Source organism: Homo sapiens, chromosome 1, assembly GCF_000001405.40.
Source record: "Homo sapiens chromosome 1, GRCh38.p14 Primary Assembly".
Taxonomy (NCBI): Eukaryota; Metazoa; Chordata; class Mammalia; order Primates; family Hominidae; genus Homo; species Homo sapiens.
Window position 1 is genome coordinate 61,577,892 of NC_000001.11, and position 13,845 is coordinate 61,591,736.

The window sequence follows — 13,845 nt, forward strand, 5'->3', positions numbered from 1 at the left end:
CTCTGTATTTCCTGAATTTGAATGTTGTCCTGCCTTGCTAGGTTGGGGAAATTCTCCTGGATAATATCCTGCAGAGTGTTTTCCAACTTGGTTCCATTCTCCCCGTCACTTTCAGGTACACCAATCAAACATAGATTTGGTCTTTTCACTTAGTACCATATTTCTTGGAGGCTTTGTTTGCTTCTTTTTACTCTTTTTTCTCTAACCTTCTCCTCTCACTTGATTTCATTAATTTGATCTTCAATCACTGATACTCTTTCTTCTGCTTGATCACATTGGCTGTGAAGCTTGTGCATGTGTCACGTAGTTCTTGTGCCATGGTTTTCAACTCCATCAGGCCATTTACGGTCTTCTCTACACTGTTTATTCTAGCTAGCCAGTCGTCTAATCTTTTTTCAAGGTTTTTAGCTTCCTTGCGATGGGTTCGAACATCCTCCTTTAGCTCAGAAAAGTTTATTATTACCGCCCTTCCAAAGCCTACTTCTGTCAGCTCATCAAAGTCATTTTCCATCCAGCTTTGTTCCATTGCTGGTGAGGAGCTGCATTCCTTTGGAGGAGAAGAGGTGCTCTGTGTTTTAGAATTTTCAGTTTTTCTGCTCTGGTTTCTCCACATCTTTGTGGTTTTATCTACCTTTGGCCTTTGATGTTGGTGACCTACAGATGGGGTTTTGGTGTGGATGTACTTTTTGTTGATGTTGATGCTAGTCCTTTCTGTTTGTTAGTTTTCCTTCGAAGAGTCAAGTCCCTCAGCTGCAGGTCTGTTGGAATTTGCTGGAGGACCATTCCAGACCCTGTTTGCCTGGGTATCACCAGCGGAGGCTGCAGAACAGCAAATATTGCTGCCTGATCCTTCCTCTGGAAACTCTGTCCCTGAGGGGCACCCACCTGTATGAGGTGTCAGTCAACCCCTACTTGGAGTTCGAGCTTCCCTGGCCACTTTGTTTACCTACTCAAGCCTCAGCAATGGCGGACATCCCTCCCCCTGCCAGGCTGCTGCCTTGCAGGTTGATCTCAGACCGCTGTGCTATCAGTGAGCAAGCCTCCGTGGGCATGGGACCCACTGAGCCATGTGTGGGATATAATCTCCTGGTGTGCCGTTTGCTAAGACCATTGGAAAAGCGCAGTATTTGGGCGGGAGAGTCCCGATTTTCCAGGTACTGTCTGTCACAGCTTCCCGTGGCTAAGAAAGGGAAATCCCCCGACCCCTTGCACTTCCCGGGTGAGTCGATGCCCTGCCCTGCTTCAGCTCACCCTCCATGGGCTGCACCCATTGTCCAACCATTCCCAAAGAGATGAACCAGGTACCTCAGTTGGAAATGCAGAAATCACTGTCTTCTGCATCAATCGCACTGGGAGCTGCAGACTGGAGCTGTTCCTATTCAGCCATCTTTGACCATATTATTTTATAAGTCACTTCTTAAACTTAAGAATGTGTTATAATATTTCCCATGCTACAAATTGGGCTTTGAAATATTATTTTTAAAAGTGGTGAGAGGCAGACCTAAAGTCCTCACAGCATCGATAATATTTCAGCTGAGTCTAAAAGGGTGAGTCACAGTTTTCCAGGGAAGGCAAAAGGAAGCCCTCATATTGAAATATACATAGGCAAGAAAGAACACTAAATACACAAAGAACTTGGGAGGGTGTCACAGAGACCTGATATATACAATCGCATGAAATGCAAGGCCAAGTACTTATTATTATTATTGATTTTACTTTCAAAGGAGGAAACAGAGGCTTAGAGAGATTATAGGATTTACCAAAGAGCAGCAATCCAGTTGGTGGCCAAGTCAGAATTCCAAGTCAAGATTTCTAGCACCTAAAAGGGAACTGAATGTAAGAAGGAAAGGAAGATCAGTGAAAGGAAATCAAGGAAACCCAAGTCATGATGAGGGAGAAGAAGGGGTGCCCTAAACCTGAGTGAGTGGGAAGAAAAGAAAAACCCTCCACTCCATTCCTAATTCAGTCCCTTTTGTTCTCAGAGAAGCCTGGGAAGTTGACCGCCAGTCTGTCTCATCTGATGAGTGAAGTGTAATAAATGTGAGCTTTGCATTTTTGTACAAATGTGAAATACTTTCCAAAATTAGCCCTGGTCCAACTGTTAAAATCCCCAAGTTCCCAAACTCTCTCAACAGGAAACAAGCTGTGGACATCCAGATGTTTCTCCTCACAGTGTGTTGTCTGGATAGTGTTTACATTTATCTTTTTCTTGTCAAATCATGACTTTGTAAAATGCTTTATTATGGTGATTGATCATTTGCACAACAGTGCTAAGAAAGAGAACTGAGGGAAGTGTGGGTACAGGGTGACACATGAATGCATAGCCAATGATCCATCTCAGAAAACCATTTCTGAGAGCCATGATTCCAGCAAGTGCCCAGAGTTAAAACATCAAGTGTGTGACTCAGTGAGACTGTCCCTTTTCTGTATGAAGAGAATTAGCCCAAGGAGCAACCTTGATGAATCCACTCTTTGGCAGTTAAGAAGGAAACGGATCTATCCACAAATCATGGAATCTACCAAAAGCTATGTATACCAAAAGAGCATCTTCCTGCAGGAAGAGAGCTAACAGAAACTTGGAATGGTGAGTAACAAATAGGCTATCACCTTTAGTTATCCCTTACCTTGCGCTAGGCATTTTGCATACATTGCCTTATTTAATCCTTGCAACAATCCTAGGAAGGAGGTACTGTTTTCATGCCCTGTTTAGAGATGACGAAACTGAAACCCAAGAAAGGTTAAGCAACCTAAAATTACACACCCAGTAAGTGACTGCACTGGGAATCCAACCTAGGTATATCTAAGTCCAAAGAGATGGGATTTTGCCTCCATTTCCAATAAGGCAAGGGTTGTCCTTTTCTCTGTTGGTAACTATTGAATGAGAGTCACCTTCTCCACTCTTACCTAGGGCAGCTATTTTGCTTAGAAGATGGGTCACTTTTGATCACATTTCTTGTCTTCCTTTTTGGCCACCATTGTTTCATTCTTTCCCTGAATCCCAAAGAAAGATATAAGAGGCCAACAGAATATACCTGCCAGGTCATAGTTATTAGCAATGAAAAAAAAAAAAAAAAGAATTTAAAACCCCACAAAAAACACCAGCTATAGAGTTGGATCCTGGAAGCCTTTCTCCTGCCAGATAACAGTGACCAAAGAGATAGCTTGTCAGACTTTCAACTGCTACCACATTTGATTAATTGGTCTTTCCCCTCTTTAATTAATTGGTCTTTCTTCCTTTTTAATTATGGTTTTAGCCAAAACTCCATGCTGTTCATCCTACTGTTAGAGGGAAAGAAGGAAGAAGAAATGAAGATAAATATAACCAATTTTATTTGGATCTGCTATGTCTCATTAGCAATTTTATAGTTTTGGTATAGAGTGATACTTAGTACAGAAAAAGCAGTTTTTCTTTCTTTAAAAACAAAACAAAACACAACACAACCGAATGTTTAATTAGTTAGTCCCCTTTGGCCTAGCTAGAGAAATGCCTATAGCTGACATGCACATTACAGTATGTAATAATGGGCGTAAACAAAAGTCAAACATCTGCTCACCAGACCTGCCCCTAAGTCTTCTTCTTAAGCACCAAGGGAAGCATCTCAAGTTGACTTTGCAGGAATGCTGGATTCTCTGTAGTGCTTTTGCCTCTCACCTTTCTTGGGAGTTTATAGGGGACTTTGAAGTTCCTCTGAACAAACAGGGTCTCTGTTTCACTTATTGCTGAGCCAACCCTGGGGCCTTGGTTCCATCAGCTCCTTATTAAGTGTTTAGTAATTTCAGTTTCCACCTTTTGGTCTTGCTCGCTTTGCAAACATCTGGAGAGAATTAGCTCCCAGGCCTCTGTACCATACCCATTTTGTGGTTCTAGGGAGACTTGTGTGCTAGGGGATGTTGTTGCCCTTAACGAGCTTTCTTTATGGTGTTTAACTGTAAAAGGTACCCTCGTTAATATTAATAGACAAAGAGAAAGCAAGGCCACTCCACTCGTATTTAGCAAGGGCTTGACTATGAGTGAGAACTTCATGCCGAAGTGGGAATAATGAATACCATGAACACGAGATTGAAGTATAAGATAAAGTAAAATATCATTATCATAAAACGTCTGGACACTTGAAATGAGTCTAAGTCTATACCTATGCTATTCAATATAATAACTACTAACCTCATGTGGCTTTTGAGCATTGGAAATGTGGCTAGTTCATATTAAGATTTACTATAAGTATAAAACATACACTAGGTTTTAAAGACAGCATAAAAATGTAAAATATCTCATTAATGACTTTTATATTGATTGTATGTTGATAATACTTTGGAGATAGTAGGTTAAATGATATATGTTAAGATTAATTTTACCCATTTCTTTTTACTTTTCAACATGGCTGTTAGAAAATGTAAAATTACATACATGGCCCACATTTGTGGTTTGCATCATGTTTTCATTGGACAGCGGTATACTAGAAGATAAGAAAAATTATTCCACAAGATATGATTGGGACATGCAAGATTCTGTGACTCGGAATCCATGTGACATTAAAGTAAACAGCAAAAATATCAAAAAGGTTACTAAGAAAATGTCATCCTGACACCACAGGGAAAAAAACACACAAAATTTAAAAACATATATAAAAATAAAAAGAAAAGAAAATGTTATTCTGAATCTCAACAAATAAGAAAAGACAGCTATCAGAAATTACTGGTCAGGTTTTTTTTCAGGGAAAAATTCTAGAATCGATTACTAAATACATCTATGAACAAGTTAGGAAATAAGAAGATGATTACCAGAAACTGGCTGAGTTCCCTAAAAACAAGGCATACCACATTAAATTCATTACCGTTTTTGATTAAGTGACTGGGCTGACACATCTAAGGAATTATAGAAACATACCTGATTTCAGCAAGCTATTGGACAAACCTTCTTATGGTATGTTTGTGGCCAAATTTCAGAAACTTGTATTGTGTAATAGTAAGCTGGCAAAACCCAACTGGTTGAATATTTGTAAATATTATAGATAACCTTGAAAATCTACTTATAGGATGGTCTATGGGAGAGATCACAAAACTAAAAATTAGCTAAATAAATATGATCAATATCAAAATCGGTACTCAAAAAATAATGCATCAGTAATAAGAATATGGCATATAACCACCATCAAAGTAAAATGTTGAGTTCCTAAAATGAATTGTGTAGGTACAGCACTAAGCTGGCCCACTTTGAAAATAATGTGCATAAAAAGAATTATTTTTTTTCTAAAGTACAACACAAACTAAATGTGTAGTATGCTTGTGAAGAAGTATGGGAAGCAGTAGTCTCAGTTTACTGTACTAAACTGGCTAAATCCAGAATATTTTGTTCAGTTCTTGGATAACCACAATGGTGAGGAGGTGTTAACAATTAGAAAATGAAAGCCATGCAGCTCAACAAAGAGGAGCTCTGGGAACAACCTGACAGCTATGCTCAATGCCATCACTTGGAGGGTACACATGTTCTGCTTTGCTGCAAAAAATTGGTGGATCCAAGAACAACTGGGGGGAGTTACAGGGAAGGCAGGAACAGATCATTATGAAAATTTGTTGAATAATCTTGGAGCTCTCCACGAGAAAGCATGCCTTGGAAGATAATAAGTGAGCTCCCTTTCCTTAAGAGTGTTCTGTAGAAACCAGATGGGCATTCATCAGGAACTTTATAGAAGAGACTTCTCCTGTGGCAGGAAGGTTAATTAAGTGAAATCTTTATATTTTCAACTCTTAGGCTAGAAATCCTATTATCAGTATTGGGAGACTAAAGATAACTCTGCAGGCTTCTACTTTGGTCCAATTAAGCTAAATATCATCTGGAAGCTTGCTAGCAAATTGTGATGCACCAGAAATTAGACTATCAAGAAATGTAGCACACAACTGGCTCTGTGCATGTATTTGGGAGTGGGGAGGCGAGGGAGCAAAGCTCCAATTTGTAATGTTTGCCAATTACTGTGGTGTAATTACTCCTACCATGGCAAACTTTAAGCTACCCACGGTTGAATAACTGTGAGTTAGTTCCTGAAAATGTAACACAGCTCTCACAAGCCAGTATGAGGTGACTCCTGCACACCACTTCCAGCTTGTCACTTGGCAGTCAGCATACAGTGTCAAGACAAAATTGATCAGTCCATCATATATTTAATTTGTTTGTTTGTTCTTGTTTTATGTTTGCTATGGGTCCCACATTCTGAAAAGTGCTCATAGGTGACATGGTCTTCTTCCTCAAAGAATGTAAGGCTAACAGGGAGGAGCAGTGGTGGTGGTGGCAGTGGAGGGTTAAAGATTAAGATGCACAGAGAAAAACAGAGTTTTTAAGACATGGAATGGGCGGAACATGAAGGTCTGTGCTAGTGGAGCTCAGGAAGCAGTGAAGGGACAAGAGCTAATGTTTATCAACATTGAAAGGCTCATGTGCTGGGTGAGCCACCACTTTTTACATCTCAAGAAACATAATCATAACCCTGTGAGGTAGCTTTTGTGCCCATTGTATGGATGAGGAACCAGAACTCAAAAACATCAAAATATGTACCTGCAGCTCACAACTGATAGCACAATCCATCGGAGTCTGCAGATCAAATCCATCCCGCCACTCACTCCTTTGCATTGTCAGGGAAGGAGGAAAGTGAAGACTGAAGCTTAGCTGGAAGGATAGATAGAATTTAAATGCTTCCTTCAAAACAAGAAGCCTGCAAAGCAGAGAAATAGTCCTATCTGTCTGGGAGGCAGCCTGCTGCAGTTGACTTGAACAGCTCTTTGAGGCCACTGTCGCTTCTGAGCCATAGCTGATTTAGAAAACAAGGCAAAGAAGACAGCAATGAGGCTATACCTCAAACCCTGCCCATCTGCACTAAAACACCTCCCACTGCCACTCTATCAAATGGACTTGGTCGTGGGTTTTGAGATTTTGCTAAAAATTCAGTATGGGTGAAGTGGCATGCTCCTGTAATCTCAGTTACTTGGGAGGCTGAGGCAGGGGGATCGCTTGAGACTAGGAGTTTGAGATCAGCCTGGGCAACATAGCGAGACCCTGTCTGAAAAAACAAAACAAAATAAAAATTCCAGCAGTATGAGTTGGGAAAGTTAATAGCTCTTTGAGCATCAGTTTCTTCTTTTGTAAATAAAAAGAAATATGCCTGATTCACATTTTGTTGAGAAGACTTAATGTGCTAATTTTATAAAACACCTAGCACAATGCCTGGCACAGAGTAAGCATTCGATAAATATGCGATCCCTTTCCCTCCACACAGTTGCACAGTTGCCTCCCTCGCTGGACTGTCATATGCATATATGCATCTTTGTGTCCCCAGCTACTAGTACAGTACCTGGCAAAGAGTGCTAAAGTACCTGGGAAAGAGACAGGTAAACTCTGTCTACATACAGTGCTGATTCATTACTCTGGGCTCAGAAATACTTCTTAGGTTAAATAAAACAAGTATATATGCACATGCATAAATCCATTGTAGTGTCAAGTCAGCGTGTGCTTTCTCAGGGCTGGTCATCCCATGCACATAAAGAAGCGCCAACTCTCTGGCAAGGCATCCTGGTGGGCCACTCTCTCAGTCTGAAAGCTGCCTTGATTTGTTTACTTCAACAAGGTTTCATCTTTCTGCCATGTTTTCTTTTTCATTCTGGTGCGCTGTGTGTCCCATTACCTTAACAAGTGATAGTGCTTGAGTTGCCACTAAGGGTCCGAAGGAAAAGTGTTGTGCTGGATGCCAGTGTTCATGGATTGTGGCAGCACAAGGCAAGTTCAGTCTAGGAAACAGGTAACAAAGCTCACGAGGCTGTTAGGGAGGTCTGATTTTTACGAAGGGCTTCGTGTCCATCACTGAAGCCTGGAGGATTGACTAGTAATTGTATGAATGGGATCTGGAAGGAACTATGGTCTGAGGCTTGTCATGACTTCAGGGGTTGGCACCGTACAAAGCCCCATAAGGATCACGCAAAGGCACCCAACCGTGCTAATTCACCCTTTCCGGGAACTCAGCTCCCCCGCCCAGTATTGCTTGCCAGGGTGTGCCCACAGGCACTCCCTGCATGTGGCTGCAGGAACCAACTATGAAATCCACCTATGTGTTTTCTAGTGAATCTGGCCCTGATTTTAGCAGACAGCACTAGCTGTCATCTGGTTTTTATTAAATTCCATAAGTAAGAGAGTAATTCACACTCTAAAATGTTACACTATGTAAATAGTGAGACTGATTGAAAACTATTTTGTTATTTTCTGCTTTTCTCTATTTTGTGAATTTTCTTTAATGAGCATTGAGTACTATTTTATATATATATGTTTACATATATGTTTATATATATGTTTATATATATATATATATGTTTTAATTCAAAGGATAATTCATGGCAGAAACAGAAGTATAGGGACAGAAATTTCCATTACCGGAGGCTTTGAGAACCATATTCCTGCAGCTCTAATGAACAGAAAGTCATTTCACTGGGATGTTTTCCTCCATTTTCTGTGAATTTGAGTGAGCTTCCTTCCAAGAATGCAATTGAAGACTGGGACATACATATTGTAACCAGTAGCATGAGTTATTGATTGAATTCCCTGGCACTTCCTTTAGTTTGAATTCTAGGTAGAGTTCTTGGAAAGTGATGGCTTTTCGAGAGCTGGGCTTCCCTAGCATGGAATGACAAGTCACATAACAGCTCTTTGTCCAGTCATATACTGAGCATCACCTGCGTATCAGGCACTGTGCTGGGCACCAAAGATGGAAAGATAATTCGTGTCTTCACTGTAGTAAGGTAGATAGGGGCCAGGCATGGTGGCTCACACCTGTAATCCCGGCACTTTGGGAGGCCGAGGCAGGCGGATCACCTGAGGTCAGGAGTTCAAGACCTGCCTGGCCAATGTGATGAATCCCCGCCTCTACTAAAAATACAAAAATTAGCTAGGCATGGTGGCGCGTGCCTGTAATCCCAGCTACTCAGGAGGCTGAGGCGAGAGAATCACTTGAACCTGGGAGGCAGATGTTGCAATGAGCCAAGATCATGCCATTGCACTCCAGTCTGCGTGACAAGAACGAAACTCAGTCTCAAAAATAATAATAATAAACAAGAAAAAAATAAGAAAGGTAGATAGGAACACAACATAGCTGTACTAGGGGTGAGTTATGTACAAGAGGGTGTGGGTGAGTGGCCAGAGCAGGTTTCACAGAGGCCAGGACATGTCAACAGTCTTCACTTTAGAGTAGGAATTTGCTAAGAAGACCAGAAGTCTGGTTGGCTGGCAAAGAGATGGGTCAGGGTAAGGGGAGTCCAGCAGAAGGAAAAGTATGCATACAAGCATGGAAGCATGAACTGGCTGGCCTGTGGGATCGTCATGACCCCAGGATCAAACTCATATAAGTTTCTCCAAGACATAACAGTTCTTGTCTCAAGTAAGACACTAGGAGAGTAGGCCACTAGGAGCCCCAATTCCATCAAACACCTCCTAGCCCTGTCATGCACCCAGCATAAGCACAGGGGATGATACAAGAAAACAGTGTGATATCACCATCCCAAGTTGCTGCGGATCAGAGAGCTGTCTTACTGTGATGCTTAATTTTTGGTGAACTTACAGAAAAAAATTCAAAAAGTCTGAGGCTGCCCATTAGGAATGAGAAATTGCATATGAGGGTTAGCATGCTAATTATGTTTTGTGTAACCTACTGGACACACTGGGATGGCTTTTCCTGAAAGAAATTATCTGAGTCCTACCTTACCACCTAGACAAACGGGAAAGGAAAGGGGGTTGATTCCACCAACAGTGTGTGCTTGTGACTTAGGCGGCTTTCCAGTCGAAGAAATACAAATAATTGTAAGGCAATTTTAATCTTTACTGAACTCTCTTGAAGCCTATCAAACGGAATCCCAAATGCACAGCAAAACATCTTAAAATTGCCTTTCCCTATCTCTCTCAAGTCATATATATCACACGTTTATGGCTCTCTCCTCCTAATTTTTTTCCTCCCTCTTTCCATATTCCTCCCAAACTCTCTTAAGCTCAACTACAAGAACACTTGTCTTTTCACCCCAGCCCCATTCCCCGCTTTCTGGATTTATTCCTCTGGTGGCTAGTAGATCTCTCTCCTTTCTAAAGTAAATCAATTTCACATTTCTGCCCCCCTACACCAATCAACACCACATTATTTTTATATTTGTGGCAGAGGTTTAATAGGTAGAACAAGGGGATGCTTTGCAGAGGCTAGAACACTCAAGAGAAAGATTTGTTTTCTTTGTCATTTGAACAGCAAGCATATATAAACCATGCTGGTAAAGTTTCTTTCTGGTGGCTCCCATATTTTAGGTTACTGGCCACCCTAAAAACCTAAGCCCTAAAAACCTGTTACCTTCCCATGTAACAGAAGCTTAATGTAAATGACTTTCATAAGCCTGTATTCCTTTAACTTATTTTTTTCTTCTTTATCCATAGCAGATTTAAGTCTGGATTCCTTGACTCATCCAAAGTGGTTAAGTGCAAGAATGCTATTTTTTTTTAATGCCTGTCTTCCCCATTAACTCCCAGAGGGCAGGGGTATTGGCCATCTAGGTGACCATTAGCACTGTCCCTGGAAAATGGAATACACTCATTAATTCTTATATTTAGCATTTGTTGAAGGGAATTTGAATGTGAGCATAAATTTCTTAAAGGATCTTTCAGTCCCTTGAACAAAGTGTGAACCAAGTGTCATCCAAGTTATACAACATGGAGTACATACAATTGCATTTCACTCTAATTCAAGCCTAAGAACAGGTGACCCAAGAAGCAATCTCAACCCCTCAAAGATTTTTCTCCAATACCTAATCTGCAAGCCAAGGATCTTTGGGGTACAGAAAAAGTCATTTTTTTTTCTTTCCTTTGAGGGAAGTGACAGATACAAAGTTTTCATACTCAGCTCCTAACTGCCCCCAGCTCATCCTGGCAGCTGAAGAGTTAATCTGCTGCCACCTAGTGGTTCTTGGCCAACCTGCGGGAACCCCAGCTCACATAAGGTGAGGGTGAATGGGGTGGGTGTGGACTGTCTCCATGAAGAGGACAAGGTTCTCAAGTGGCTTTGTCTTCCCACCCCCAAAGTTTATCTCTCTCTTTCTCTCTCTCTCTCTCTCTTTCTCTCCCTCTCTCTCTCTGTCTCCCCCTCTCTCTCTCTCTCTTCTCTCCTCTCTCCTCTCTCCTCTTTCTCTCTCTCTCTCCCCTTCTCTGGGGCCTGTTTCCTGTAGACCTGAGGCAAAGCAGTAGTTCAGGCTGGGATTTCTTGCAAGTTTTCCACTGTGGGGTGCCGCAACAGCTGTGACCCTGGCTTGATTTTGATGTAGACTTCAAGGGCGCCGTCCCCAGCGGGGAGAACATTTTTACCTCAGGAGCCTATTCACATTGGTAGCCTTGGCAGGGAAAGTTCCAGAAGCTTTGATTACACAAATACCTTTGCTAGGTACAGGCCCGTCTTGGCAACCTGGGGAGAGAGAATGTGCACATGGGCTGATTAAACCAAACGACCCGTTTCCTTTGCCGGGGCTGGGGGCTGGGGGTCTTCGGCTTGGAAATGATTTTTTCCTTGGCTGTGTTGCCTGGAAACTTTGAGGGTTTAATTAGGACTGGGGAGGTTTTTGGCTCCCGCAGCTGCCTCTGCTCTCCCCCAGGGTTACTGAGTGAGAATGTGTGCATGCGTGTGTGTGTGTGTGTGCGCGCGCGCGTGTGTGTGTGTGTGTGTCCCCTGCAGTGCAGGCCAAAGCCGTCTGGAGAAGTTAATTGTGTACCAAGGCAGATGTGGCTCTTTTTATTTCAATTGATTTCAGTTAATAACTTTTAACCTCCGAACCGCAGTGAGGCTGCGTGTGGTTTATGTATCATGTACTGGAGCCCAGACAACTGAGTGGAAATGGTAGCTATTACCTTACTGCCGCCATCCATCTAGGGCCAATCATTGGAAACTTTTCTAAATGTTCTCAAGCAAATCCAGAAAGGACATCCTCCATCAGTGTCTCTCTGGCTCTGTGAATTCCTAGGAAGAAGTAAGACAAGAGCCGGCCCGCCCCAAAGCAGTTATCTTATTTGGTCAGGAGGAAAAAGTTGGAGTAAACAAATTAAAATGAAACATTTTTCATCCTTTATTGACTTCAGTATTCTTTTTATTAACCTCAACATTACCAAGCAGTTACTCTCCCATTTGGAGACTTGGAGAAAGAAGAAGAATTTTCTTTTCTGCTTTTCTTTGATATGTATATATGTTTGTATTTATTTTTCAACTACCAATGTTATACACAAACATGTTCTGGTTATATAAGGATTAAATACAGAAGTATAAGCCCCCTTGCTCACAGGCAGATTTTCCAGCTGGGGTCAAGGCAGGTGCAGGCGCATTGTGACCCACCCTTTTTCTTCCTTCCCTCCCTTTTTTCTTTTCTGCTTTCCTTTCCTCCTTCCTTCAGAGGAAGATTCAGAGACACAGGTCTTTCCTTCATGGAGCATGTGGAAATGAGCTCCCACATACCATGTGTATTTGTTTGCTAGGCCTGCTGTAAGAAGATACCACACAAAGGTCTAATATCCAGCATCTATAAGGAACTTAAACAAATTTACAAGAAGAAAACAACCCCATTAAAAAGTGGGCAAAGGACATGAACAGATACTTCTCAAAACAAGACATACATGTGGCCAACAAGCATATGAAAAAAAAGCTCAATATCACTGATCATTAGAGAAATGCAAGTCAAAACCATAATGAAATACCATCTCACACCAGCCAGAATGGCTACTATTAAAAAGTCAAAAAATAACAGGTGTTGGCAAGGTTGTGGAGAAAAGGGAACGCTTATACACTATTTGTGGGAGTGTAGATTAGTTCAACCATTGTGGAAAACAGTGTGGCAATTCCTCAAAGAGCTAAAAACAGAACTACCATTTGACTCAGCAATCCCACTACTGGGTAGGTACCCAGAGGACTGTAAATCATTCTACCATAACAACACATGCACACGAATGTTCATTGCAGCACTATTCACAATAGTAAAGGCATAGAATCAATCTAAATGCCTATCAGTGAGACTGGATGAAGAAAACATGGTACATATACACCATGGAATATTATACAGCCATAAAAAAAGAACAAGATCATGTCTTTTGAAGGAACATGGATGAAGCTAGAGGCTATTATCCTTAGAAAACTAATGCAGGAACAGAAAACCAAATACTACATGCTCTTACTTGTAAGTGGGGGCTGAAAGATAAGAATTTATAAACACAAAGAAGGAAACAAAGACGCTGGGGTCTACTTGAGCAGGGAGGGTGAGAGAAGGGAGAGGAGCAGAAAGGATAACTATTGGATACCGGGCTTAATACCTGGGTGATAAAATAATATGTACAACAAACCCCTGTTACCGGTGTTTACCTATGTAACAAACCTGCACGTGTATCCCCGAACTCAAAATAAAAGTTAAAAAAAATAAAAATACGACGAGTAAAAAAAAAAGAAAAAAAGAAAGTACCACAGACTGGGTGGCTTAGACAAGAGCAATGTGTTGTCTCACAGTTCCAGAGGCAGGGTTGATTCCTTCTGCGGGCTGTGAGGGAGGCTCTGTTCCACGCCTCTCCCTGCTCCTGTGGTTCGCTGGCAATCTTTGCTGTTCCTTGACTCGTAGACACATCGCCCTGATCTCTGCCTTCGTTTTCACATAGCTTTCTTCCTGGCACTGGGAGTGACATGACTTGACTGTTTTCTAGGGAACCCTCACTTTAGGCTTCTCCTCTTGAGTTGGTCAGATGCCCAGAGAAGACTCTTCAATCCCCTATTTGAAGAATGTGTGTGCCTGGCTGCTGTGTTCCGGGAGCCAAGTGTG

The 13,845-nt window shown here is 41.7% G+C and overlaps 3 annotated features.

Annotated features, from left to right (window-relative positions):
- Nucleotides 1,897–4,596: an enhancer, noted in NCBI's record as "VISTA enhancer hs1484". NCBI's record gives its function as "enhancer in: forebrain[7/8] | limb[8/8]" and the evidence as "EXISTENCE:transgenic organism evidence [ECO:0001131][PMID:17130149]".
- Nucleotides 2,900–4,099: an enhancer, noted in NCBI's record as "BRD4-independent group 4 enhancer chr1:62046463-62047662 (GRCh37/hg19 assembly coordinates)". NCBI's record gives its function as "activates an origin of replication core promoter dependent on BRD2, P300/CBP, MED14 and CDK7 cofactors, and independent of BRD4, by STARR-seq in HCT116 cells {active_cell/tissue: HCT116}" and the evidence as "EXISTENCE:reporter gene assay evidence [ECO:0000049][PMID:35650434]".
- Nucleotides 9,870–12,345: an enhancer, noted in NCBI's record as "VISTA enhancer hs1450". NCBI's record gives its function as "enhancer in: neural tube[8/8] | hindbrain (rhombencephalon)[8/8] | midbrain (mesencephalon)[8/8] | forebrain[8/8]" and the evidence as "EXISTENCE:transgenic organism evidence [ECO:0001131][PMID:17130149]".